At 38.6% G+C, this 27,896-nt stretch overlaps 1 long non-coding RNA gene and 1 pseudogene across 2 annotated transcripts in view; one reads left to right on the top strand and one right to left on the bottom strand.

Moving 5' to 3' along the window:
- The window catches only part of LINC00345 (long intergenic non-protein coding RNA 345), a 118,126-nt gene that overhangs the window by 72,146 nt on the left and 18,084 nt on the right, over positions 1-27,896 (top strand). The window lies entirely within an intron of this gene.
- The window catches only part of TPTE2P3 (TPTE2 pseudogene 3), a 98,103-nt pseudogene that overhangs the window by 58,634 nt on the left and 11,573 nt on the right, over positions 1-27,896 (bottom strand). Inside the window, exons 7-11 of the transcript NR_002793.2 lie at positions 25,089-25,142; positions 24,128-24,181; positions 13,612-13,674; positions 7,353-7,403; positions 5,667-5,828 (exon numbers count right to left, since the gene is read on the bottom strand). The product of NR_002793.2 is annotated as a TPTE2 pseudogene 3 (transcript). The remainder of the gene's footprint in view (positions 1-5,666; positions 5,829-7,352; positions 7,404-13,611; positions 13,675-24,127; positions 24,182-25,088; positions 25,143-27,896) is intronic.

Genomic DNA, 27,896 nt, shown 5'->3' with positions numbered 1-27,896 from the left:
CTCCTCTATCTACTGATTTCCTTTCTTGTGGGTACATACCCAGCAGTGGGATTTCTGGATCATATGGTGGCTTTTAGATTTTTTGAGGAACCTCCAAACTGTTCCCCATAGCGGTTCTACTAATTTACAGTCCCACGAACAGTGTATGAGGGTTCTCTTATCTCCACATGTTTGCCAGCATTTGTTATTGCCTGACTTTTGGATATAAGCCATGTTAGCTGGGATGAGATGATATCTCACTGTAGTTTTCTCTAATGATCAATGTTAAGCACCTCTTCACATGCCTGTTTACCATCTGTATGTTTCCTTTTGAGAAATGTCTATTCAAATCTTATGCTCATTTAAAAAAATCATAGTATTAGATTTTTTTCCTATAGAGTTGTTGGAGCTCCTTATATATTCTGGTTATTTATCCCTTGTCAGATGGGTATTTTGCAAATATTTTCTCCCATTCTGTGGGCTGTCTCTTCACTTTGTTAATTGTTTCCTTTGCTTTGAAGAACCTTTGTAACTTCATGTGATCCCATCTGTCCATTTTTGCTTTGGTTACCTGTACTTGTAGGGTATTGCTCAAGAAATTTTTGCTCAGACCAATGTCCTGAAGATTCTTCCCAATGTTTTCTTGTTATAGTTTGAGGTCTTATCTTTAAGTATGTAATCCATTTTGATTGGATTTTTATATAAGGTGAGAGGTAGGGGTCTAGCTGCATTTTTCTGCATGTGGATATCCAGTTTTCCCAGAACCATTTGTTGAAGGGACTGCCTTTTCCTCAATGTATGTTCTTGGCAAATTTGTTGAAAATGAGTTCTCTGTAGGCGTGTGGATTTGTTTCTGGGTTCTCTATGCTTTTCCATTGGTCTACGTGTCTGTTTATGCAAGGGCCATGCTGTTTTGGTTACTATAGTTCTGTAGTATAATTTAAAGTCAGGTAATGTGATTCCTCCAGCTTTGTTCTTTGTGCTTAGAATAGCTGCTATTCTGGGTGTTTTATGGCTCCATATAAATTTTAGGATTTTTTTTCTATTTCTGTGAAGAATGTCATTGCTATTTTGATAGGGAGTGCATTGAATCTGTAAATTGCTTTGGATAGTATGGTCTTTTGAACAGCATTGATTCTTCCAATCCATGAACATGGAATCTCTTTCCATTTTGTGGTGTCCTTTTCAATTTCTTTCATCAGTGTTTTATCGTTTTCATTATAAAGATCTTTCACTTCTTTGGTTACCTCTTAGATTTTTAATTTTATTTCTGGCTATTGTAAATAGGATCACTTTTTAAAACTCTTTTTCAGATGGTCCACTGTTGGCATATAAAAATACTACTGATTTTTGTATGTTGATTTCGTATCCTGCAACTTTACTGAATTTATCAATTCTAATATTTTTTTGTGGACTCTTTAGTTTTTTCCAAATAAAATATATCATCTGCAAACACAAGGATAATTTTACTTCTTCCTTCCCAATTTGGATTTGTTTTTATTCCCTTTATTTCTTTATCTTCTGTGATTGCTCTAGCTAGGACTTCCTGTACTATGTTGAATAACACTGGTGAAAGTGGGCATCCTACTTGTGTTCTAGATCTCAGAGGAAAGCTTTTCCATTTTTCCCCACTCAGTATGATACTGACTGGGGATCTGTCATATATGGTTTTTATTATATTGAGGTGTGTTACTTCTTTACCCAGTTTTTTTAGAGTGTTTATCATGAAGAAACGTTGAATTTTATCCAGCACTTTTTCAGCATTAACTGAAATGATCTTACAGCTTTTATCCTTTATTGTGTTGATATGATGTATCACTTTGGTTGATTTGCATATTTTGAACCATCCTTGCATCCCAGGGATAAATCCCATTTGTCATGATGAATGATCCTTCCAATGTATTGTTACATTCAGTTTTCTAGTATCTTGTTGAGGATTTTTGCATCAATATTCATCAGATATATTGGCCTGTTGTCTTTTTTTTTTTTTTTTTTTGAGACAGAGTCTCACTCTGTCACCCAGGCTGGAGTGCAGTGGCATGATCTAGGCTCACTGCAACTTTCATTCCCAGGTTCAAGTGATTCTCATGCCCCAGCCTCCAGAGTAGGTGGGATGACAGGCACCTGCTACCATGCCCAGCTAATTTTTCTATTTTTAGTAGAGACAGGGTTTCACCATATTGGCCAGGCTGCTCTTGAACTCCTGACTTCAGGTAATCCACCTGCCTCAGCCTCCCAAAGTGCTGCGATTACAGGTGGGAGCCACTGCTCCCAGCCTGTTTCTTTTTTTGACGCATCTTTGTCTGCTTTTGATATCAGGGTAATACTGGCCTTGTGGAATGAGTTTGGAAGTATTCCTTCATCTTCTGCTTTTTGGAACAGTTAAAGCAGGAGTGGTATTCGTTCTTCTTTAAATGTTTGGTAAAATTCAGCAGGGAAGCCATTGGGTCTCAGTATATATATTGGCTATATATGTTGGATGAATATATACTTAAAATTGTTATAGCCTCTTGCTGAACTGATCCCTTTATCATGATATAGTGACATTCTTTGTCTCTTCTTATCGTTTTTGTCTTGCAATCTATTTTATCTGATACAAGGATAGCGACTCCTGCTCTTTTTTGGTTTCTACTGGAATGGAATATATTTTTCCATTCCTTTATTTTCAGACTAATGGGAGAAGAGTGTTTCTTGTAGGCAACAGATCAATGGGTCTTTTGTTTTTTGTTTTGTTTTGTTTTTATTTTTATTTTTTTGAGGTGGAGTCTCACTCTGTTACCAGGCTGGAGTGCAGTGGCATGATCTCGGCTCACTGCAACCTCCGCCTCCTGGGATCAAGAGATTTTCCTGCCTCAGCCTCCTGAGTAGCTGGGGCTACAGGTGTGCACCACTACGCCCACCTAATTTTTCTATTTTTAGTAGAGACGGGGTTTCACCATGTTGGCCAGGATTGTCTCCATCTCTTGACCCTGTGATCCACCCGCCTCAGCTCCCCAAAGTACTGGGATTACAGGTGTGAGCCACCGTGCCCAGCCGGGTCTTGTTTTTTCATCCATTCAGCCATTCTGTCTTTTGATTGAAAAGTTTAGTCTGATGACATTCAATGTTATCATTGATAAGCAAGGACTTACTCCTGCCATTTTGTCAATTGTTTTCTGGTTGTTTTGTAGTCTTCTCTTCCTTCTTTCCTTCCTGTCTTCCATTAATGAAGGTAATTTTCTCTGGTGATATAATTTAGTTTCATGTTTCTTATTTTTTGTGTATCCCTTGTATTTTTTTTGGTTTGAGGTTACCATGAGGCTTGCAAACACTATCTTATAACCCATTATTTTTAAGCTTATAAACTAACAGTTTGCATAAACAAACAATAAGAAAACTAATACAAAATCTACAACTTAGTCTCACTACTTTTTAACTATCTGTTATTTCTATTTATATCTTATTATACCATTTATGTCTTGAAAAGTTGTTATAGTCAATGTTTTTGATTGGCTCATAGTTGTCTCTCTACTTACAATAACAGTAGTTTATACACCATAGTTACAGTGTCATAACATTCTGTATTTTTCTGTGTATTTACTATTACCAGTGAGGTTTATACCTTCAGGTAGTTACTTATTGCTCACTAATGTCCTTGTCTTTCTGATTGAAGTACTCCCTTTAGCATTTCTTCTAGGACAGGTCTGGTGTTGATGAAATCCCTCAGCTTTTGTTTGTGTGGAAAAATCTTTCTTTCTCCTTCACTTTGAAGGATATTTTCACTGAATATATTGTTCTAGGGTAAATGTTTTGTTTCCTTCAGCATTTTCAATATGTCATATCACTCTCTCCTGGCCTGAAACATTTCTATTAAAAAGTCTGTTGCCAGCTGTATTGTAACTCCATTGTATATTATTGGTTTCTTTTCTCTTGCTGCTTTTAAGATCCTTTATCCTTGATCTTTGGGAGTGTGATTCTTAAATGCCTTGAGGTAGTCTTCTTTGAGTTAAATCTGCTTGGTGTTTTGTAACCTTCTTGCACTTGGATATTGATATCTTTCTATAGGTTTGGGAAGTTCTGTTACTATCCCTTTGAATAAACTTTCTAACCCCTCTCTCTCTGCACCTCCTCTTTAAGGCCAGTATCGCTTAGATTTGCCCTTTTGATGCTATTTTCTAGATCATGTAGGCATGCTTCATTGTTTCTAATTCTTTCCTTTGTCTCCTCTATGTATTTTGAAATAGCCTGCCTTCAAGCTCATTAATTCTTTCTTCTGCTTGATCAATTCTGCTATTAAAAGACTCTAATACATTCTTCAGTATGCCAATTACATTTTTTGGCTCCAGAATTTCTGCTTGATTCTTTTTAATTATTTCAATCTCTTTGTTAAACTTATCTAATAGAATTATGATTTTTTTATCTGTGTTATCTTAAATTTCTTTGTGTTTCCTCAACACAGCTATTTTGATTTGTCTGAAAGGTCACGTATCTCTGTTTCCCCAGGATTGGCCTCTGGTGTCTTATTGAGTTCATTTGGTGAGGTCATGTTTTCTCGGACAGTGTTGATGCTAGCAGATGTTCTTTGGTGTCTAGGCATTGAAGAATTAGGTATTTATTGTAGTTTTCCCTGTCAGGGCTTGTTTGTACCTATCTTTCTCGGGAAGGCTTTCCAGATATTGGAAAGAACTTGGATATTGTGATCTAAGTTTTATCTGCTTTAGGAGGCACCCCAAGCCTCCTAAACTCTGTGGTTCCTGCAGACTCATAGTGGTACTGCCTTAATGGTCTTGGACAACATGCAGGATAATTCTCTGGGTTACCAAAAAGAGAGTCTTGTTCTCTTCCCTTAATTTCTCCCAAACAAACAGAGTCTCTCTCTCTGTTCTGAGCCACCGTGACACAAACACCCCTGTGGCCACCGCTACTATGACTGCATTGGGTCAGACGTGAAGCCAGCACAGCACTGGGTCTTGCCCAAAACCTGCTGTAACCACTCCCTAGCTATTGCATAAGTTTGCTGAAGGCCCTGGGGCTCTACGATCATCACATGGTAAAAACAGTCAGGCCTGTGTCCTTCCCTTCACGATGGCAAGTTCTCCCAGGCTCCGGGTGGGTCCAAAGGTGCTGGGAATCAGGGCCTAGATCAGAAACTTATAATTCTCCCTGGTGTTTTATGTGCTATGGCTGTGCTGGTTGAGCTGTCACTCAAACCACAAGATGCAATCCTCCCTACTCTTTCAACCCCTCTCCAAAAGCAGAGGAGCATCAATCCATGGCCACCTCACTCAAACACAGACCCTGGGGGGTACTGCCAGACTACCACCAAGGTTCTCCTAAGGCCCAAAGGCTTTTAAGTCAGCTTGAGTTGAATGCTCCTGTTAATTATTCTAATATGCCTCTTTTTTTTTGGGACGGAGTCTCACCCTGTCACCCAGGCTGAAGTGCAATGGCACAATCTCGGCTCACTGCAACCTCTGCCTCCTGGGTTCAAACAATTCTCCTGCCTCAGCCTCCCGAGTAGCTGGCATTACAGGCTTCCGCCACCATGCCCAGCTAATTTTTGTATTTTTAGTAGAGACAGGGTTTCACCATCTTGGCCAGGCTGGTCTTGAACTCCTGACCTCGTGATCCACCTGCCTCAGCCTCCCAAAGTGCTTCTTAGAAAAGTACAAAATAGCTTTATGCATTATAAAAATAATCAAACTTACCCTTCTACAAATACTCGAAGAAGAACATCCATGAGAAAAAATAAAGCAATAGCTAGAGAAATAGAACGATACTCCAAAGGAATATAAACTTTGCTATCAGTGAAAATTAGGTCAGCAAAGATCAGAGCCACATCCAACAAGATCAGGAAAACTCCAAATATTCTACAACAAATAAATAAATGAATAAATAAGTAAGTAACAGCAAAGATAAAGGGGCTTTTGTCCCTATAGTTATACTATATTTAGGCCAATAATCAGGTACCAAAATGTTATTATTTAGTATTAAACTGCCCAGTGGCAGGAAAAACTGTAATGTCATAGAATCTCAGAAAAATCACTGTTTTCACCCAATAGAAGCAGTTCTTAATAAATAAAATTCCCACCAAACCACTTCACAAGACGTTATCATGCCCTTTTATAGCAGATCCATCAGACTAACACCTCAAGAGAGAAAAGTGAAACTGAACTAAAATTGCCTGTGTCTGTTTGTAAACTCTTCTTAAAATTTGAGAATTTCATAAGAAGTTTACACCCATTTCTCATAAAAAATAAAATCTTATTAATCTGGATAATTCTTAAGAATTTATTAATAAAAACCAAATGAAAGCATGAGTAACATAAGCTCTTAAAAGACCAAGATTTTTTTTGTCAGTGACATTTTCAGCAAGTACATGATTACATATTTATGGGCGATTCTAGTACAGTGATGGGTACATGAGAAAGAATTCAATTCCATAAATATTTATAGTATTGAACTCTAAGGTACCTCCTGAAACTTGCTGTTACATATTCTAAATACATTCCCCATAAATTGATTATACTATTTGCTTAATCTATGAAGATGAATTCATCTTCAAAGTACTTTTCAAAAAGTTGCAGCTCAAGTTAAAATATCATTAATTCAAAAGGAAACAATTATATTGCATAAATCTATATCATATTGCGTAAATCTATATCATAGTATGAAATCTTACTCTTACGTAGAGAAGAGTCTAAGTAAATTGTTTCCAGAATTAAAGAGTAATTCTAGATGTATAAGGTACTTAATAAAACACTTTACTTATAATTATAGAATTTTAACATTCGATTTTCATTAACTTTACTTGTGCAGATGGAAGAAAAATAATATTAATATGTTACTATTAATCTTATACAAAAGCCGTTTCTTTGCAAGTCTTAAAGTCCAGCTTAAACCAAATTTCCATGATAAATTAGATTACATTAGATGGGGCACATGGCTACTTAGAAACCGATGGACAGGAAATGCTTTTTGGTTTTGTTTTTTATTTCAGTCTTTCTCATTGAAAGAGTGATATATATATATATATCGCTCTGTCACCTGGGCTGCAGTGCAATAGTGTGATCTCAGCTCACTCCAATCTCCGCCTCCCAGGTTCAAGCGATTCTTCCACCTAGGCCTCCCGAGCAGCTGGCATTGCAGGCACTCGCCATCATGTCTGGCTAATTTTTTTATTTTTAATAGAGACGGGGTTTCACCGTGTTAGCCAGGCTGGTCTTGAACTCCTGACCTCAGGTGATCCACCTGCCTTGGCCTCCCAGAGTGCTGGGATTACAGGCGTGAGCTACCACACCTGGCCAAGTCTCAGATATATTTAATACGTGGTGTTTTTTATGCATTAAGTCTCACGTATATTTAATACATGGTGTTTTCTATGTCTCACATACCCAACTGCAAAGGATGACACAATTGAATGAACAATTTTCTTAATCTTGCTGCTGCAAAAACAAAGCAAAAATAAAATCAATCAGATTTCTTCTAACTTATAAATTTAACCAAAAAACAAAGGCCTTTATAAATACAATTTTAAAAGAAAATTATTCAGAAGTTGTATAACAAAATGCTTTTTACTAATAATTAAAATTTTATCTTTTCTGCTCCATGAGTATTTTACTTTCCTATCCAGAATATATGTGAATAAGACAGTAAACTTTGGATGTTTAGTAATATTTCCATTGCATGCAAAGCCCCAACTCCAACTTTATGGCAATACTAAGCTTAAACTTGTGGTCATCAACTCAAGGAATATAGCATGAAAAAAGAAAAGAGGGGTAGAAGAGAACTGTATTTTAATGCCAGCCTGGGCAAGTCATCAAACTTTGGCCAGATCTCAGTTTCAACAGCAATAAAATAAGGTATTTCAGGGATAAGCATAGGGAGTAAATGATGCTCTTGTCATCTCTTTCAAACTAGACACCTAGTGAACAGATACACATTAGTGAGAGTTGCCTTTGAGGTGGCATAGGAACTGCAGCGGTAAGACATTTTAGTAAGATACACTTCAAAGGAGAAACACCTGAAAGACTGGGCTCCTTCCATTAATCCAAGAAAGGAGAACCTGTTTGATGGAGCCCCCAGTAATGCCTCATTTTACCTTATGGCTGAAGACAAGGTAGCTGATGAGGAACAATTTTTTGTCTTACTGAAGCCTTCAGGAAGTTTCTGTCATACTGAAGCCTCCAACACAGGACTCAAATTTCACCCCAAGAGGCATGAATCCTAAGACAATGCTCACAGCCTGTGCCTAAGACTGGAGAAAAAAAGAGGACAGACACTGAGGAGAACTGGGGCACTGCCAAAATTGGCCTTCGACATGAACAGACATTTCTCAAAAGAAGACATACATGTGGCAAAGAAGCATACAAAAAAAAGCTCAATATCACAGATTAGAGAAATGCCAATCAAAACCACAATGAGATGCCATTTCACACCAGACAATAGTCAGAATGGCTATTATTAAAGTGTCAAAAAATAACAGGTGCTGGCAAGGTTGCAGAGAAAAGGGAACACTTATACACTGTTGATGGGAGTGTGAATTAGTTCAACCATTGTAAAAAGCAGTATGGCGACACCTCGAAGAGCTAAAAGTAGAACTACTATTTGACTGAGCAATCCCATTACCTAGTATATACCCAGAGGAATATAAATCATTCCACTGTAAAGCATATGCATGTGAATGTTCACTGCAGCACTATTTACAATAGCAGAGACATGGAATCAACACAAATACCCATCAATGACAGATTGGATAAAGAAAATGTGGTACATATACACCATGGAATACTATGCAGCCATAAAAAAGAATGAGATCGGCCGTGCACGGTGGCTCACGCCTGTAATCCCAGCACTTTCGGAGGCTGAGGCGGGCAGATCATGAGGTCAGGAGATCAAGACCACCCCAGCTAACACGATGAAATCTCGTCTCTACTAAAAATACAAAAAAATTAGCTGGGCGTGGTGGCAGGCACCTGTAGTCCCAGCTATTCGGGAGGCTGAGGCAGGAAGAATGGCGTGAACCCAGGAGGAAGAACTTGCAGTGAACCGAGACTGTGCCACTGCACTCCAGCCTGGGCAGCAGAGAGAGACTCCGTCTCAAAAAAAGAAAAAAAGAATGAGATCCTGTCTTTTGTGGGAACGTGGATGGAGCTGGAGGCTATTATCCTTAGCAAACTAGTGCAGAAAGCAAAAATCAAATACTGAATGTTCTCATCTGTAAGTGGTATAGCTAAGTGATAAGGATGTAAAAACACAAAGAGGGAAGCAAACACTGGGGTCTACCAAAGCGGGGAGAGTAGGAGGAGAGAGACAAGCAAAAAGGATCACTATTTGGGTACTGAGCTTAATACCTGGGTGATGAAATAATATGTAAAACAAACCACCCTGACACATGTTTACCTATGTAACAAACCTTCACGTGTACCTCGAAACCTAAAATAAAAGTTAAAAAAAGCAAAATTGGCCTTTGATGAATGATGTTAGGTTAACCTGAGATAAAGGAAATCCCCAATCCTTCTAATCTTCCCCTCATCCACCTGGACCCACCACCTCTACCCAGGCTTAGAAAGTTAAGGCTGATGTAGACAGAGGATCAGTTGGCCAAAAGAGGCGAATTCTCTCCGGAAGTTGCCATTCTCTTTTTACAAGAACCTCTGATCCCACACAGTCTACTGGATCTCTGGGTATCAAGGAAATGTCATCAATCTGAATTCACTTGACAATATCACCATACAGAACCAAGCCTGATAGATCATGAAGGCATGAAGGAGTGGCTTGGGTGGCTTTAGCCCCTTCAATCTGTTTCAGTGTCCCCTGAAACTGTACCAAGTAAATATACAATTGAGACTTATTTTGGTTAAAAAAGTGTACTATGTAAATGCAGCTTCAAGCAGTTACATGCAGAGTTTGCAGGGAAATAACTATGACTCAATATATCCATATCCAGGAAAAGTACTGTTCACATTTGAGAGCAACAGACAGACACTCCAACATGCAGCAACTCAAAGCATAGCCTCTATGTGCCTTTCCTAAAAATAATTACTCAAAGTGCTTGAGTCAGCTGAGCAATGAATCAAAATGAAGAACAGAGCAATAAGGAACATGACTTATAGAGAAAAGATGGTAAATAATATAAACTCAGAAGTAAGTCTAAATAACAACTGTTAATGTAGCATAAAAATGTAGGTGAAAATGTAAATAAACGATTCTAAAAGTAAAGATAATATAAAATTATCAATAATAGTATTGATTTAAATTTTAGGCATTCTTACACTAGGATTCAAGGTTTGGAAGAAGATAGAAGTAAAGGCAGATTGCATTTCTTATCTTCTACAGATACAAGTCCAGTTTTATTCTCGATATTGATGGAGAAAAATGGTATAATTATGTTTTCTAAATATTTAAATATAAACTGATGGACTAGAAATGGGCTTCTGACTTGCCTATCAGTAAAAAATGTAAGGGATAAAAACAAATCAATTACTAGCAAAATATAGACTAATTTAAAAAGAAAATATCAAAGTATTTTTCATAAAGAAAAAGACAATAAAGCCAAACATACCAGAAATCATAAATACAAACATATTCCTCCCATATTCCATGAGAAATACACTCAGATAACTTTAAAATCAAAGGCATTACATGCTATACACAAGAGACAAAAACTAAATTTAAATGACAGTTTAAAAATAAAGAGATAGAGGCCGGGTGTGGTGGCTCACACCTGTAATCCCAGCACTTTGGGAGGCTGAGGCGGGCAGATCACGAGGTCAAGAGATCGAGTCCATCCTAGGCGACCCCCCATCTCTACTAAAAATATCAAAAATTAGCTGGGCGTGGTGATGTACACCTGTAGTCCCAGCCACTCGGGAGGCTGAGTCAGAAGAATGGCTTGAACCTGGGAGGTGGAGGTTGCAGTGAGCCAAGATCATGCCAGTGCACTCCAGCCTGGCCACAGAGTGAGACTCCGTCTCAGAAAAAAAAAAAGAGAAAAAGAAAAGAGAAAAAGACATGAGATACTAAACCTTAAAATACTATAAGTTCCAATATTAATATCAAAGTGGAATTCAAAGCACAAATATTAACTATGACCATGACTTTATTTTTTATCAATAGAAGGTGGAAGCTACATGACACTAACAAGACCATTTTTAATGAAATGGGATTCGTATCGAGGGCAGGTGCTATCTCTCCCACTGGACACATTTTTCTCTGGTACAGACTCTGGCGGTACGGAGATGGCCATGATGCAAAGCAATGAAAACACTGTACTGACTCTCTGGTCTTCCTGATCTCACTCTAGATCACTAAAACAGGGTAAGGACAATACAGGGGGATGATATTTTGATGCTGTGAAAACTATTAGTCACACAGGAGAAAAGTAAATTTCTACACTTTATGCCTTAAGACAAAGTAAATTCAGGGCAGCGATTTTATTTAAATGAAGAAAATAAGCTCAAAACAGAAATCTTGATGAATATATTTAAAATCTTGGGGTAGAGAAGGACTTTCTGAGAATAACATTAAAGGCATAAATCACAAAGAAAAGTATAGGTACATTTGATTATATGAAGATTCAACATTTTTATATAGTGAAAAGCAAGACACCCTGGGAGAAACTACTTATATTACATAAAATAGAAAAAGGATCAACAGATTTAACTTTTCAGTCCAAAGACAGAAAAACACCCCAATTTTAACTGGCCAAAGGTAGTTTGGAAATGATGAAATATTAACTGAAAAAAGCATAAATGAAGGTATGTCAAAGAATGTGCATTAGAACAAATAGATTTACTAATATCAAAGAAATCAATGACAGCTAGCGTTAAGTATGGGAGGGGAGAAATGTACACTTTAGCATCTTGATGTTCAAGCACTTATCAATACCAATAGCATCATAATCATTCCCTTTGACACAGGATTTCCACTTCTGAGAATTTATAATAAGCAAATAACCAACGATATGCAAAGATTTAGCCTCAAATATTTTTTGTAACAGTAAAAACTTGTAAAAAACTTAATTGTTCAGCAATATCTGACTATTAAATGAATTATAGCACATCTACACCATGCAGTATTACAAAACTATTACAAATAATGTTGTAAGTGCACATGAATATACATTAACAAGAAAATATAGACATGATGTCATTAAGTAATAAGGTTATTTACAAAATAATATAAGTATGGTCTCGTATCTGTAAACAAAAAATGCATATGCTTAAAGAACTCAGAAGTGCATGTATCAAAGTTTAAGAATGACTACATGTGGGCAGATTTGTTGATTGGATTTTCTGATTTTCCTTTAATAAACTCTCACGTTATTTTCAGTTTTTCGCACAAAACCTATTCACAGAGCTACAGAGTTTTCAAAGTGTTTTTGCATGTTATTTTAGTTTTATTACTAATTTTTTACAATACAATATCCACTACATAGATAGCATTATAACCAGTTTACATTTGAATAATCTAAAACTAAAAGAGGTTCAATGACTTCCTGAGTATCAGATGAATGAATACATGATGTCAAAGCCAAGCACTGATTCCAGCTTTTACTATAAATCCAAGATCATCCCCCTGGTATGAAACACCAGTGTTTCTCACAGGGACCACTACCAATTCCTCCTATATTTATGCAATGAGACTTTGTAACTTAAAAATAAAACAAAACAAAAACCTGCTTTCTTTTGTTTGGAGAGGGGAAAGAAAAAGGAAATGCTTGCCTTGCTCAATCTGTCTAATTTTGCCTCAACCCTGGGCAGCTCCATTACAGAAAATGTATAGCTAGTATGCAGACACACAGTTTAATTAAGTGGTGCCGTGAATTCTTCACTGATGGCCCATGATAAAAATTTCTAGAAAATGAAAACTCAGGGTAATTTGAAGAACTATTTGTATTTGCCCTCTGTTTCCCATGTAATCTTTGTTTAGACACCAACAGCTTATAACCATGATGAGTTAACTTCCTCTATGGCAGCACTTCCTCTCCAACATTGACATAAGCTGGTGAATGGTTATACAACTGGGCAAGAAAGAAGCAGAAGAAAAATCTCCTGAATATGTCTGCAGTTCAGACACAAGCCAGTTTAAGAATGTGTTGTTTCGTTACAGTGAGTACATGGTAAAATGCCTTCAGGTCAGTGCAATAGGAGTACTCAGTACTCTAGTGAGATTAGAAACAAATAATAACAAAATCCCAGTGAGCATAAAGAGGTCTTTAGTCAGCAAAACATGTTTGCTTTTGCTATCAATACCACTTGCTCATAGGTGAAATCTACAAAACTGGGAATCGCACAATATCCAGTAAAAATGAGAAAGGTTCACTATTGATGAGTAAGTAACATTCTGCATTCCTGTTTTCTTTTAAAAAAAAAAAACTTCTAATGAAGTTAATTTCTTCTAAGGATACTTTTTACATTTTCAAGCTAGAAGAACATTTATTCCTGAATGGATGGAATTTTTTTTCAAAATAATACTTGTCTAAGAATTCAATTGGAGGAAATATGGTGTACTCTCCCACCCACACACCCATACATTTTGATATCCTTCCGTAGTTTCCCTTTTTCCTTTGTGCCTCAGCGTAAGCCCTGTTCAACTAAAGAAAAGAGATCCATCAATGGCTCCCTCCTTTCAAACTTCAAACTGACTTACTCATATGAAGCGACATATTCAGCATTTTCATAATCTTCAAACCTGGAAAGTCGTTCTGACACACTTTAGCCACCAAAAAAATGCAAAAATATATCATTAGATATTTGCTACACAAAACAGTGATGAAGAATTTATTTGAATAACAAGAATTCCATGAATCTAAAGGATATAGTAAACATGACTTAGCTCACTGGAAGACCTGACATTTAAGAAAGAAAATTACAGTCATTAACCAGAAACTATTCTCACAGATACTCCCAACGCTGAATTTTGCATATTTTTCTCTTCTTTTCTCTCTCTGTCTCTTTCTATATATGTATATAAAGGTAATTAAAAGAATATGTATATAGTTATAGAATACATAAATGTGTATAGACATATCACAAAGACATTGTGGGTTTCATTCCAGACCACTGCAATAAAGCAAAAACTGCATTAAGTGACTCACACAAATGTTTTGGTTTCCCTGTGCATATAAACGTTATGTTTATACTACACTGTAGTCTGTTAAGTGTGCAACGACATTATGTCAAAAAAAAATTATGTACATACCTTAAAGTAAAACTACTTTATTGGTTAAAAAAATGCTAATGATCACCTGAGCCTTTAGCAAGTCATAAACTTTTTGCTGGTGGAGGGCGTTGCCTCCATGTTGATGGCTGCTGACTCATCAGAGCTGTGGTTGCCAACGGTTGGGGTGGCTGAGGCAATTTCTTAAAATAAGACAACAACGAACTTCACTATATCAAATGACTCTTCCTTTCACAAGTGATTTCTCTGTAACATGTGATGCCATTTGATAGCATTTTACCCACAGTAGAACTGTTTTCAAAATTGGAGTGAATCCTCTCAAATCCTACCACTACTTTATCAACCATAGTTTACTTATATAGAATGAGTTAGGAAGACTTTCCTCTGCTTTAATTTTTTGAAATAGTGTAAGAATTGATATTAGTTCATTTTTAAAAGCAGGTGGAGTTAAGTGGTGAAGTCATCAGATCCTGGACTTTGTTGAAGGCCTTTTTGTTCCTGATTCAATCTCATTACTTCTTTTTGGTCTGTTCAGGTTTTCTATTTCTTCTTGGTTTAGTCTTGGCAGTTGTATGGGTCGAGGATTTTATCCACTTCCTCTAGGTTTTCAAATTTATTGTAGAGTTGTTCATAATAGTCTCTAATAATCCTTTTTATTTCTGTCATATCTGTTGTGAGGTCCCATTTTTTCTTTCTGATTTTATTTATATGGGTCTTCTCTTTTTCTTAATTAGTCTAGCTAATGGTTTGTTGATATTTTTAAACCTGCTTTTTGTTGTTAACCTTTTGTAAATTTTGCCTGAATTTTGTTTATTTCTGTCTGGTCTTTATTATTCAGTTCCTTTTAATAATTTGGGATTTAGTTTGTTCTTACCATACTAGTTTCTTGAGGTAGAATTGTTAGGTGGTTTATTGGAAATTTTTCTAGTTTTTTGATCCAGCCATTTATTGCTATGAACATGCTTCCTAATACTGCTTTTGCTGTGTCCCTTATGTTTTGGTAGGTTGTGTTTCTAGTTACAGTTGTTTCAAGGAATTTTTAAATTTCATACTTAATTTCTTTCTTCACTCCTTGTCACTCAAGAGCATGTTGTTTTATTTCCATATATCTGTATAGTTTTGAATGTTCCTCTTGTTATGGATGTCTAGTTTTATTCCATTGTGGTAAGATAAGATACCTGATATAATTTCAGTTTTTAAAAATGTGTTGAGACTTGTTTTGTGGCCTAACATATGGTCTATCTTGGATAATGTTCCATGTGCTGATGAAAAGAATGTATATTCTACAGCTGTTAGGTGAAACGTTCTGTAAATGTTTGTTATGTCCATTTGGTCTATGGTGCAGTTTAAGTCTGATGTTTCTCTGTTGATTTTCCATCTAGATGATTTGTCCAGTGCTGAGAGTGGGATAATGAAGTGCCCAACTCTTATTGTAATGGGGTCTAGCTCCCTCTTTAGATCTACTAATATTTGCTATATATATCTGGGTGCTCTGGTGTTGAGTGCATACATATTTACAATTATATTATACACATATTACAATTATGTTCTATTTCTTGCTGAACTGAACCCTTTATTATTACATAATAATCTTGTGTGTCACTTTTTATGGTTTTTAACTTAAAGTCTGTTTTGACTGATATAAGTATAGCTATTCCTGCTCACTTTTGGTTTCCATTTGCATGGAATATCTTTTTCCATCCCTTCATTATCAGTCTATGTGTTTCTTTAGAGGTAAGGTGAGTTTCTTTTAGATAAAATATAGTTGGGTCTTATTTTTATTATTATTATTTTTTGAGACAGAGTCTCGCTCTGTTACCCAGGCTGGAGTGCAGTGGCACGATCTCAGCTCACTGCAAGCTCTGCCTCCCGGGTTCATGCCATTCTCTTACCTCACCCTCCCGAGTAGTTGGGACTACAGGTGCCCACCACCACACCCGGCTGATTTTTTGTATTTTTAGTAGAGATGGGGTTTCACCATATTGGCCCGGCTGGTCTCGAACTCCTGACCTCCGGATCTGCCTGCCTTGGCCTCCCAAAGTGCTGGGATTACAGGCGTGAGCCACTGCACCCAGTTGGGTCTTATTTTTTAATCCACTCAGCAAGTCTATATCCTTCTTGGGGTATTTAATCTATTAACATTCAAAGTTGTTATTGGTAGGTGAGGAGTTATTTGCGACATTTTATTGTTTTCTGGTTGGTTTGTATATGTTTTGTTCCTTTCTGCCTCTCTGTTTACTTTTGTAGTTGGGTAGTTTTCTGTAGTGATAAGGTTTCATCCCTTTCTCTTTCTATGTATTGACTCTACCAGTGACGTTTAAAGTTTTACATGTTTTTATGATGGTGGTTATCATCTTTTTACTTCCAGAAGTAAGACTGCCTTGGGCATTTCTTGTAAGGCTGGTCTAGTGGTGATGAATTATCTTGGTGTTTGTTTATCTGTCACAGATTTTATGTCTCCTTCATTTGTAAAAGATAGCTGCACTGGGTATAATATTCTTGGTTGAAAGATTTTTTTTTTCTTTCAGAACTTTGCATATATCATCCCATTCTTTTCCAGCCTAAGGTTTCTGCCGGGAAATCAGCTGTTCGTCTAACGGGAATTCCATTATAAGCGTTTTCATGCTTTTCTCTTGCTATCTTAAAAAATCTTTGTCTTTGTGTCTGGGTTGAATGTATTTGGGGTTCTTTGATCTTCCTAGAACTAGATGTCTATCTCTCTCTCTTGAGTTGGGAAGTTTTATGCTATCACTTTATTAAATATGTTTTCCTCACATTTCTCTTCACTTTTCCTTCTGGAATGCCCATAATAGGAATATTTGTTCAAATTAACAGTGTCCAATAAATCCTGTAGGCTTTTTTCATTATTTTTTATTCTTTTTTCTCTGCCTGTGTTATTTCAAAAGACTTCTCTTCAAGTTCAGAAATTACTTCTTCTGCTTGTTCTTGTCTGTAAAGTCATTGATTTCATTTTTTATTTCTTTTATTGAACTGTTTAGCTCTTAGGGCTTGTTTGGTTCTTTTTATGATATCTCTATCTTTACTGAATTTCTCATTCAAATCATGTTTTCCTGATTTCATTGACTTGTCTATCTGTATTACCTATATCTCACTGAGTTTCCTTAGGATTATTCTTTTGAATTCTTTTTCTGGCATTTCATATGTTTATGATTGGGGTCCATTACTACATAATTATTATTTCCCTTTGTAGGTGACCTGTTTTCTTGCATTTTCATGGTTGATGTGTTTCTATGCTGATTTCTATGCATCTGGTGAAAAAGTCACCTTTTCCAATTTTATGGAGTAGGTTACTTGTATGAATTTACTTGTATGAATGGGTCTTGGGTGTCAGTTCATTGGGGTATATTGGCCTTGGTTCTACATGGATGCAGTAAAGTGTAGTCTCCATATAGTTCATTCCGCTGTGATCCACACTAGTAACATTTGCAAGTTTCTCAGTGGCCTAGGCTAAGGAAGTTTGTGGTAATGGTGGTGCACCTTTGCCAGGGGTGGGCTCTCTGGACTGTTTCTCAGGGTAGGGGTGTGTGCAGGTATACAGTGGGTCAGAAAACTTGGAGTATGGCTTTGTGGGGCTGGCCATGGTGCTGTTACTCTGGCCAGGAGCATGGGGATGCAGTTGCTCAAGCCCAGGATGCAGGCACACAGCTGTTTGCCTGGCCTGGAAGCACACACTCCAGGAGTGGCCTGAAGGGCTGTTTCCCATGCCTGGTATGTGGATACACAGCTGTTCATCTGGCCCGAGGCCAGTCTGCTGGGGGAAACTCATGGGCCAAATATAGAGCTGCACGGCTACTAAGCTGGACCGAAGGCATCTTTGCCAGGGCTGGCCAAGAGGGGGTGTTTCTCAGGCCTGGGATACAAATAATTTCTCAGCTGTCCTGGATGTGGGTCTGCTGGGGGTAGTCCACAGGGCTATTCTAGCTCAGGATGTGGGCACACTGCTGCTCAGCTGGCCTGGGTGGTGCCTGCCAGGGGAAGCCCAGGGGGCTGCTTCTATGACCCAGGATGTGGGCACAAGGCTGCTTGGCTGGCCTAGGGGCATGTCTTCTGGGAGTAGCCCATGGGGCTCTTTCTCAGGTCCAGGACATGGGCATTCATGGCTGATTGGCTGGTCTGGAGGTGCATCCGCTGGGAATGGGTACAGGAATGTTTCTCGGGCTCATGAAAGGTTGCACAGCTGCTTAGTTGGCCTGGGAGTGTTTCTGCGGGGGGTGGCCTACAGGGCTGTTCCTCAAGCTGGGACATAGGTATGTGGCTGCTTATTTGGCCTGAGGGTATGCTGGCCAGAGTAAGCTCCCAGGGTTGTTTCTCAGCCCTGAGACTCAGGCACACACAGCTGCTTGTTTCTCAGGTCTGAGACACAGGTTCAAGGCCCACTCAGTGCTGTGCCTGCTCGCGGCAGCCTGTGGGACTGTTTCTCAGGCCTTTATTAAAGGCGGAGGGCGGCTGGGCAGGTCAGGAGCATGTCTGTGGTGGATGAGGCCTGCAGGGCTGTTTCTCAGGTCCTGAGCATGCACTCATAGTCACTCTCTTGACCTTGGGGTATATCAGCTGCTCAGAGGCTTAGGGGACGCTCCCACTTGAGAGAAGGCATGTAGTGGTTTGGCTAGCTCAAGGGTGAGTTCACCCTGGATGGGAGTGCAGATTATTTCTCTGTCTGGAAGTGTAGTGGTGGGGGTTGATTTCTCCCTGCTCTTCAGGACTTGAGTTACCGCCAATTCTGGGACCAACCTCCACACAGCTGGGGTTGTGGCTTTAACCCACCCATGTGGGCTTGGTATACTGAAGGTAAAGCTCCAGTGCTGGAGACGCACAGTGGCTACTGGCCCCCAGAGGAGGGCACACTCAAGAGATGACTCTGGTCTCAAGATGGTGCTGTGTTGCTGCAACTTAGGTCTCTGGGGGTGGGAAGCCTTCACCTTGTACTCCTAGTCCAGGACATGCAGCTGTGTAAATTCCTGGCAGTACTCCATACTGGCCTCAGGGCTTGCAAATACTGTGAGATTTTCCTTAAGACGCTGTGTTTGTGATGGCAGTGGGGCTGGTGGGGATCTTCTGCTTACCTTCACCCTGCAGTGAGAAGTCCTTCCTGTCTCTGGGCCAGTTCAACCCAGGTGGGGGAGAAGGGGCTGCAGAGGCTGAGTGCTTCCATGCTGTGGGGTCTTCCAGTCACCACAGGTGTGTCTCCTCCACTCCTCTGCTGCACTCCAGGACTATCCCTTTGATACTCTAATCAGACCTTAGATGTGTATTTGTTCCTGGGTTTTCTTGCAGGGGAGATGAGCACAAGGCATCTCTAGTCACCCATCTTGCTTGATTTAGCATAACTCGTAAGGGCCCTAGGATTTTCAGAACAGTCAATGATCATTGGCCTCAACTTAAAGTCACCAGCTTCATTAGCCCCTAAAAGAGAATTGGCCTGTGCTTTGAAGCTTTGAAACCATGCATTGACTTCTCTCCAAATATAAAAGTCCTGGATGGCATCTTCTTCCAATAAAAGGCTATCTTGTCTACAGTGAAAATCTGTTGTTTCGTGTGGCCACCTTTATCAATTGTCTCAGCTACATCTTCTGGATAACTTGGCCACCTTCATCAATTGTCTCAGCTACATCTTCTGGATAACTTGCTGCTGCTGGATAACAGCACTTGCGTTTCACCTTGCACTTTTATGTTATGGAGATGGCTTCTTTCCTTAAACTTCATGAACCAACCTGTTAGCTTCAAGCTTTTCTTCTGCAACTTACTTACCTCTCTCAGCCATCACTGAATTGCAGAGAGAGGGGGCCTTGTCCTGGATTAGGCTTTGGCTTAAGGAAAGGCTATGGCTGCTTTGATCTTCTATCCAGACCGCTAAAACCTTCTCCATATTAGCAATCAGCCTGTTTTGCTTCCTCATCATTTGTATGTTCACTGGAGTAGCAGTCTTAATTTTCTTTGAGAATATATACACGTATTTTGCATTCGCAACTTGTCTGACTGGTGCAAGAAGTCTAGCCTTCCTCACAATCATTTTTAGCTTTTAGTTTAAAGTGAGAGGCTTCTGACTCTTCCTTTCACTAGGACACTTAGAAACCCTCATAGACTTATTAAATGGCCTACTTTCAATATTGTTGTGTCTTAGGAAGTAGGGAGGCCCAAGAAGAGGGAGAGAGATGGGGAATGGCTACTCAGTGGAGCAGTCAAAAAACACATGGCATTGATTAAGGTAGTTGTCCTATAGGACATGGTTCATGTTCATGTTGCCCCCAAACAATTACAATAGTAACGTCAACGATCACTGATCACAGATCATAAGAGATAGGATAACAACAAAAAAGTTTAAAATAGGCTGGGTGCGGTGGCTCACGCCTGTAATCCCACCACTGTGGGAGGCCAAGTCAGGCGGATCACGAGGTCAGGAGTTTCAGACCAGCCTGACGAACATGGTGAAACCCCGTCTCTACTAAGAATATAAAAATTAGCCGGGCGTGGTGGCAGGTGCCTGTAATCCCAGCTACTCAGGAGGCTGTGGCAGAGAATCGCTTGAACCCGGGAGGCTGAGGTTGCAGTGAGCTGAGATCGTGCCACTGCATTCCAGCCTGGGTGTCAGAGCGAGAGTCTGTCTCAAAAAAAGAGTTTAAGATATTGCAAGAGTTACCAAAATGTGACACAGAGACACAAAGTGAGCATGTGTTGTTGGAAAAATGAAACCAAGAGACTTGCTCAATGCAAGGTTGCTACAAACCTTCAGTTTATAAAAAAGTAATATCTGAGGGGCAATAAAGTAAAGCACAATAACATAAGGTATACATGTATACACACACACGTGTACATATATACTGTATATGTATACATATATGCTAAACAATATATCTACATATACGTATCTATATATATACATGCATGTCTATATGCTAAAGTATTATACATAAAAGACTACTGATGTTATTAATTGGGGTCAGTGCTATAGAATATATCTATATAGATACATATATGTACATAAAGATATGTATATATCTATATATGCACATATAGATATATGTATATAGATATGTTCATACATATACACACATACATGTATGTAGGTATCTATATATACTAAATATATATATAAAGGATATACCTATATATATATATACACACATACATATATTCACGTGTGTGTGTATGTGTGTGTGTGTGTATAGATATATTCTTTAGCAATGACCCAGATTAATAACATCAGTTGTCTTCAATGACACCACCATTGAAAGGTGAGTTACAGCAGATATATCAAAGTAGTGAAAGACTACTGATGTCATTTTATCTGGGCCAGTGCTAAGGATTAAAAAGGTACATGCCAGATCAAGCGACTTCAGAGACTTGCTTTTCTGGTTGAAGTTATGTACAATTGTTCTACTGCATTTATAAACTGGTTGAACTCTGAAAACGTATATGTCAATTAATTACTTGGAATCTAGTATTAATATATCATTTTTTTTCCCTAAAAGAAAGCCTTACATAATGTAAAAAAGCTTTTGGGCCTTAACAAACAGCCTAGTGAATCAAAATTTAAGTACAATTCTTTATTACTTCATTTGTGAGTGAATCTTACCAATCTCATTATCTCCCTCTTTTCTTTCTCCCCATATATTGATGACTCTACCACAGACTACTCTTTTTAGTTCAATGGGGTAATAGCTAAATGATTAAAAATGAATATAGGAAGACTCCACATGTCTTCCTAGACTATTTTTCTGACACAAATGAGTAATAATTACTCTACAATTTATAATTTAGTTACCCTAAAAATTGACATCTTAATCAGTTATTTATTTGAAACCTGGTATTTAACTTTTCTCTAGAAACGAGGTTTCAGATGTTTGCAATGAAATTCTTAGGCCTGTGGAAAAAAACTTAATGAGTGAAGTTTATATACATTTCTTTACTCCTAACCCTAATCCCCAAGTTACCATTTCTGGCAAAATTTACATAAGTTCAACTTCAGTTTGTAAACACCCACCTTGCTTGCACTTGTAAGTTTCTGCCTTCTCAAGTTCAAATACCAATAACTCTTCACCAATCATGGATGTCTTTTCTGCCCCTCAGATACGGTTAAGTAACTGCAGACCTAAGGCAGGGGCTCCATCCAATCTGATGGTGGGTTTGCCTTTGGGACAGTAACCTCATGTGGTAATAGAGGAAGAGATCAGGGTTCTACTAGCTTTGTTCTTTTCTGTTAAGAGCTCCTCAGCTCCCTGCCCACTGCTACCTCCTCCATGCTAAAAATAGGACTGTCTCCTCTCTTGGCTCACTCATATTTTCCTAAGGTTTTTGGCTACTGCTAAATAAGAGTGACCAATGCAATAGGAATAAGAAGCATTGCTCTTATGACCTGTTCCTTTTTTATCCAACTAGATCCAAAAAGGATAGAAAGGTAACTGCAGGTACTACAGTAATTAGACTTTAGAAAACAGTGTCTAAGACACTCTGTATTCTTATGGATGCTCCAGACAATGAACTTGCCAAATCTGAATCTCTCTTCTGTACATGTATGCTTTTGTGTGTGTGTGTCTATGTGTATATTTACATATATATGTTTACATCTAGCTTTTAATTTATTTAGACCTCACTTTTTGTTGAAGGATGCTGCATGAGTTATTGTCATTTCACTGAAGGCAGTGCTCATGGAGTAAAAAGGTACAGAGCCATATAAACACCACATGATTTTCTCTTTTTTTGACACTAGTAGCAAAAACAATTTTTGCACCAAAAGTAGTTTTTCCATAAAAATAAAATATCAACTATACACATATGTAATGGGTGAGGGTATGCAAATCCTACCACGTAAGTCCAGTAAGTAAATTCCAACAATTAACAAAGACTCATTTTTCAATGGCCAATTAATTAAACAATTAAATGACTATATAAAAATTAAACCTATCTACATATTAGAAATACATTTTAATTCACCCATGCCTCCACTGTACCATAAAATGAATAGAGAAAATTTTTATTTACTGGCTTAAGAAATCAATACTACATATTCAACTGATGTACTACTGCTTAATGAGCAATTACAGAATTCACAATCTTGATGTTTCCTTGCAAAAGAAGTGGTAATACGTAGCACAAAGAACCTCTTTAAAAATTAGTCACTGATCAAACACAATCTTTTTATAGCTTCTGTAACATCTAATTAATTTTGTAAATTTTCTTGAGCATTACACTATAATTAACTTGCATCAGGTTTTCCCTGTAACTTACATTTTTTATGATTTATTTCCAGTAGAAGTCTGAATATGCCTGTGAAAACCATCCATCATGTCCTTCCTTTCACCCATCATGCTAGTCTTTCCTGTCCATGAGACACAGGCAAGTAGCTGTGGGCCTAAAGAAGGGCTGCATCCAATGAGCTGGTGGGTTTGGGGTTGGGTCTGGGCACCAACCTCACATGTTGACAGAGGTCTGGACGGTGAGGGACAAGTCCATGTTCCATTAGCTCCATTCCTTTCTGCCCAGGGCTCCACTGCTCCTTGTCTGCTGCTATCTCCTCCATGTCGCAAATAGGATTCTCGCCTCCCCTGGGCCACTCTGGTAGGCTCTCGAACTCAGGAACTCTGAGTCCCTTAAAAAACTGCTTACTAAGAACTAAAGGTGATGAATACACTAACAGGAAGAAGCAACCTTCTATGACTTGCTCCTCTTTATATAACTCCATCAAAAAAGGATGCAAAGTTACCTACAAATGCTACAACGAGAAGAACTGGAAACCCTGTTAAAAAACACTGTATGGCCATGCAGGCTCCTGAGAGAAAATTCCACAAATGTCCATCTGTCTCCTTGTTTTAAGATTCAATTGTGTGCATGGGTTTGTTTGTGTACGTGTGTTGAGAGAAGTGTGTATAGATGGATGGACAGATTTGTTTACATGCCTGTGCATGTGTATATACTTCTATGCACACTTACGCATACATGTGTCTTTATTTATCTATTTATAACTCACCTTTCGTAGATACATGCTTCCTTGGTTCCTCCTGTCAGTTCACTTGTGTGGGGACTAGAGGATGATAAAAGAATACAGTCAGACAGGTGACATAATTCGAAATTTACTTTTCGGGAAAAACTAGCTTTCATTACTCTAAACATAAACTGGTTAATTTCTGACTATTCATGTGTACAGCACTATGTGGACCTGAAATATCATTTTTTATCAGAAATCAGGATTTATATGATGGCTACCACCATCTTAGGATGGAGAAAATAGTAATGCTTCCAGATTTAAGTGAACCTTTTCATTACAACCTCATCCCAACGTGTGACAGCCTTTGTGGTGGCAGTTATTTCAAACTCAACTCCAATTTTTAGGTAGTCACCCCTCTTAATCCATTGAATGTCCTGCTTCAAAAATCCTCCATTACCTCATTACTTTCACCCAGCATGGGCGTCTCCCCAGCCCCACAAAACGCATCAAGTAACTAGAGGTTTTTCACAGGGGCACAACCCGATATGGTGGTGATATAAGGTCCGGAGCACCAGCCTCCATGGTGGCAGAGTTCTGGAGGCTGGAGAACACCTCCAAGTCTCTTAGCTCTGTTCCTTTCTGCTGAGGACTTCACAGTTACCCAAGTACTCCTACCTCTTCCTTGCTCCAAATAGGATTTTCTCTTCCCTCGGCCCACTCTAGTATGTCTCATACACAGAAAATCTGAGTTTTCAAGGCATTTGGCTGCTACTAACAAATGGTGAAAAGACAGTAACAGCCAGATACTCTGTTCCTCTTTTATCCAAAACAATTGTAAAAATGTGGATGTTTAACTATAGGTGCTACAGTGAGAAGATGAACTGTGTCCAAGACACTCTGTATTGCCATGGACACTCCTGAGAGCAAATCCCACTAATCTGAATATCTTTCTCTGTCACTGTTTTGTTTGTGTATGTTTGTGTGTACATCCTTTATAACTCACATGTCATCGGTGTCTCTATCAATGATGACTTCCACCAGGTCAACAGGATGGGGACTGTGGGACAAATATGATCAGAGTCAGACAGGACACATTATTCTAATGCTTTGAATCAAAGAGCTACACTAACTCTATGAGTGATTCCTTGCATACACTCATTGAACTGGGATGAAATTTTTTCTTATTAGAAATGAGGTTTTATGTGCCAACAGTGAATATCTTGGGCTGTGAACATAGCGATGCATCCAGACTAAGTAACTGCAACTTCACCTCAATGTGTAACAACCTTTTTCGAGGGCAGTTAATTCCAGTTCAACTTTAGTATTAAGTCCCCTTCTTATAATTTCATCTGAGTACCTCATTCTCTATTACCTCCAATCACCTCCTCAGTTTTCACCCATCCTAGTTGTCATCGGGGGAACCAGCCCCCAATATGTCAACATAGATTCTTGTCTATTTTCCCTAAGTGTCAGCCAGTCTGAGAAATAAAGAGAAAGAGTACAAAGAGAGAAATTTTACAGCTGGGCCTCCAGGGCTGACATCACATGTTGGCAGGTTCAGTGATGCCTCCTGAGCCGCAAAACCAGCAAGTTTTTATTAGGGATTTCAAAAGGGGAGGGGGGTAGGAACAGGGAGTAAGTTACAAGATCACATGCTTGAAAGGCCAATAAAAGATCACAAGGGAAGACAGGCAGAGCAAGATCACAAGGCCAGGGCGAAATTAGAATTACTGATGAGGTTCCATGTCCCACTGGGCACCCATTGTCACTGATAAACATCTTAACAGGAAACAGGGTTCCAGAGCAGACAATGGGTCCGACTAGAATTCGCCAGGCTGGAATTTCCTAATCCTAGCAAGCCTGAGGGCACTGCAGAAGACCAGGGAGTATTTCATCCCTTATCTTCAACTGCGTAAGACAGACACTCCCAGAGCGGCCATTTATAGACCTCTCCCTGGGAATGCATTCCTTTCCCAGGGTTATTCCTTGCTGGGAAAAGAACTCAGTGATACTTCTCCTACTTGCTTTCTCCAAGAAGAGAAATAAGACTCTGTTCTGCCCGGCCCCGCAGGCAGTCAGACCTTATAGTTAACTCCTTTCTTCCCTGAAAATCGCTGTTGCCCTGATTTTGTTTTCTTTTTGTCTGGATTCTCGGTTTTTTTAAATTATATGGCTATATTTTACAAAATCAAGACTTCCTAGCACCCAAACCACTGGCTTAGCTAATTTAATCTCTCTACAACTTCATTTCCTCATCTGTAAGTTAAGACACATGCAGAATACACTCCACATCTGTCAACTTCATAAAACCATGCTGAATATTCAGCATTTTGCAAATATTGGTTTTTAGACCACCTGTTCTCTACACCATATATTATGTCATAAAAATCAGTATGTGGCAATATAAGCTGATACATAGTTTTAGTTTCAAATACACAAACATGCTTATCAAAGTAATACACTCCCAAGACTCAAGAATTAATGCTCTTTGCCACAATTTGCTAACTTTTCAAATGTTTAAATAAGTTTCAGAAACTGATTGCACGCTTTTTTTTTTTTGGCTGCTGCTGATAAAAACTGGGATTCCCTAGAGCATGCTGAGGTTTCTGGACTTATTTGACCACAGAACCTCGTTCTCACAGTGGAAATGTGTGAGAAACACATTTTAGAAGCAATATATTAAACGGTATCTTTTTATGTCTTTAAGTAAAAGTTCTCCTACACAAACTAATTTTGGACTGTGGTCGATAGCTCAAACCTTTAAGCGCAGATAGACATTAATACTGTGCTATTCTTTCAGCCTGTGAGGAAAGGAGTGCTGGAGTTCAAATTATCAAATCTCGTTAGCCCAGTCTGAGGGCCATGAAGGGAACCTCTCAAGTTCTAAGTGGGTGTTCTCATGCCCTTGAATGGCTCATGGAAATTCATCCAGGTCTCAGGAAAAACAATACCTTTTACAAAAAGAAAGGCATCTAGAGGTATCTGCTGCTTTTCTGCAGGAAGGACAACTGGGTTGTCTATGCAGAATACACTAATAAGTCATAACAGGGGAAAATGTTCAAAACGCCAAAAACATAAGAATTTGAGTTTCTGACATAAGCAGCCTTATTGAATGATTACTGGATTTTTCAGATATCTTCTACCGAGGAAGAGAATGGGAAGACACTCAAATTACTCTTCAGATCCAGGTGACAAGCCAGGACTGCTAAGCGAGTTCCTTGGGAAACTAATCTCCAAAAAGGACACAAGACATCCATACATGTTACCTGAACTCCTTTCAGGGAGAGTATTGCATGAAGTCTGAAATCATACTTTGATAAGCTGCTTGGGAGCACAGACTGACTTCCCTCATGGGACATGCATAAGTAGCTAGCTAAATTGCCTTCTAAGGAAGGTGAGAATGGCAAACTATCCTAAAATAACGTGATCACGCAGAATTCTTAAATGCTTTTTGGTAGACAGGAGAAACCACAGAAGTTTGAGTTAGGTGAAGGTTAGCTACACCTTTATAATCAGGCTACCAGGTTATAATGAAAAGCAGCTCTCCAATCAAATCTGCCACACATACAGATATTCATTTAACAAAACATTCAGTAGCAAGCAGGCACGGTACATAAGCTTCTGTAAGCTTTCTGTACTTTAGGTGCTCCAAGCATGAAAGGTTCATTCTCAACAGAATCCTAATATTCCAGAGGCCAAAATCTTCCTAAACCTTCCTGGAGATAGGACCATATGAGGATCAAGCCTGGGGTGTCATCTCTAAGTATACACTACAGGCCATATTCATAAACCTTTATCCTGTTTATGCAAG

Source organism: Homo sapiens, chromosome 13, assembly GCF_000001405.40.
Source record: "Homo sapiens chromosome 13, GRCh38.p14 Primary Assembly".
In the NCBI taxonomy this organism is placed as follows: Eukaryota; Metazoa; Chordata; class Mammalia; order Primates; family Hominidae; genus Homo; species Homo sapiens.
Note: the sequence above shows the minus strand (reverse complement) of the source record. Positions and strands in the feature narration are given on the sequence as shown.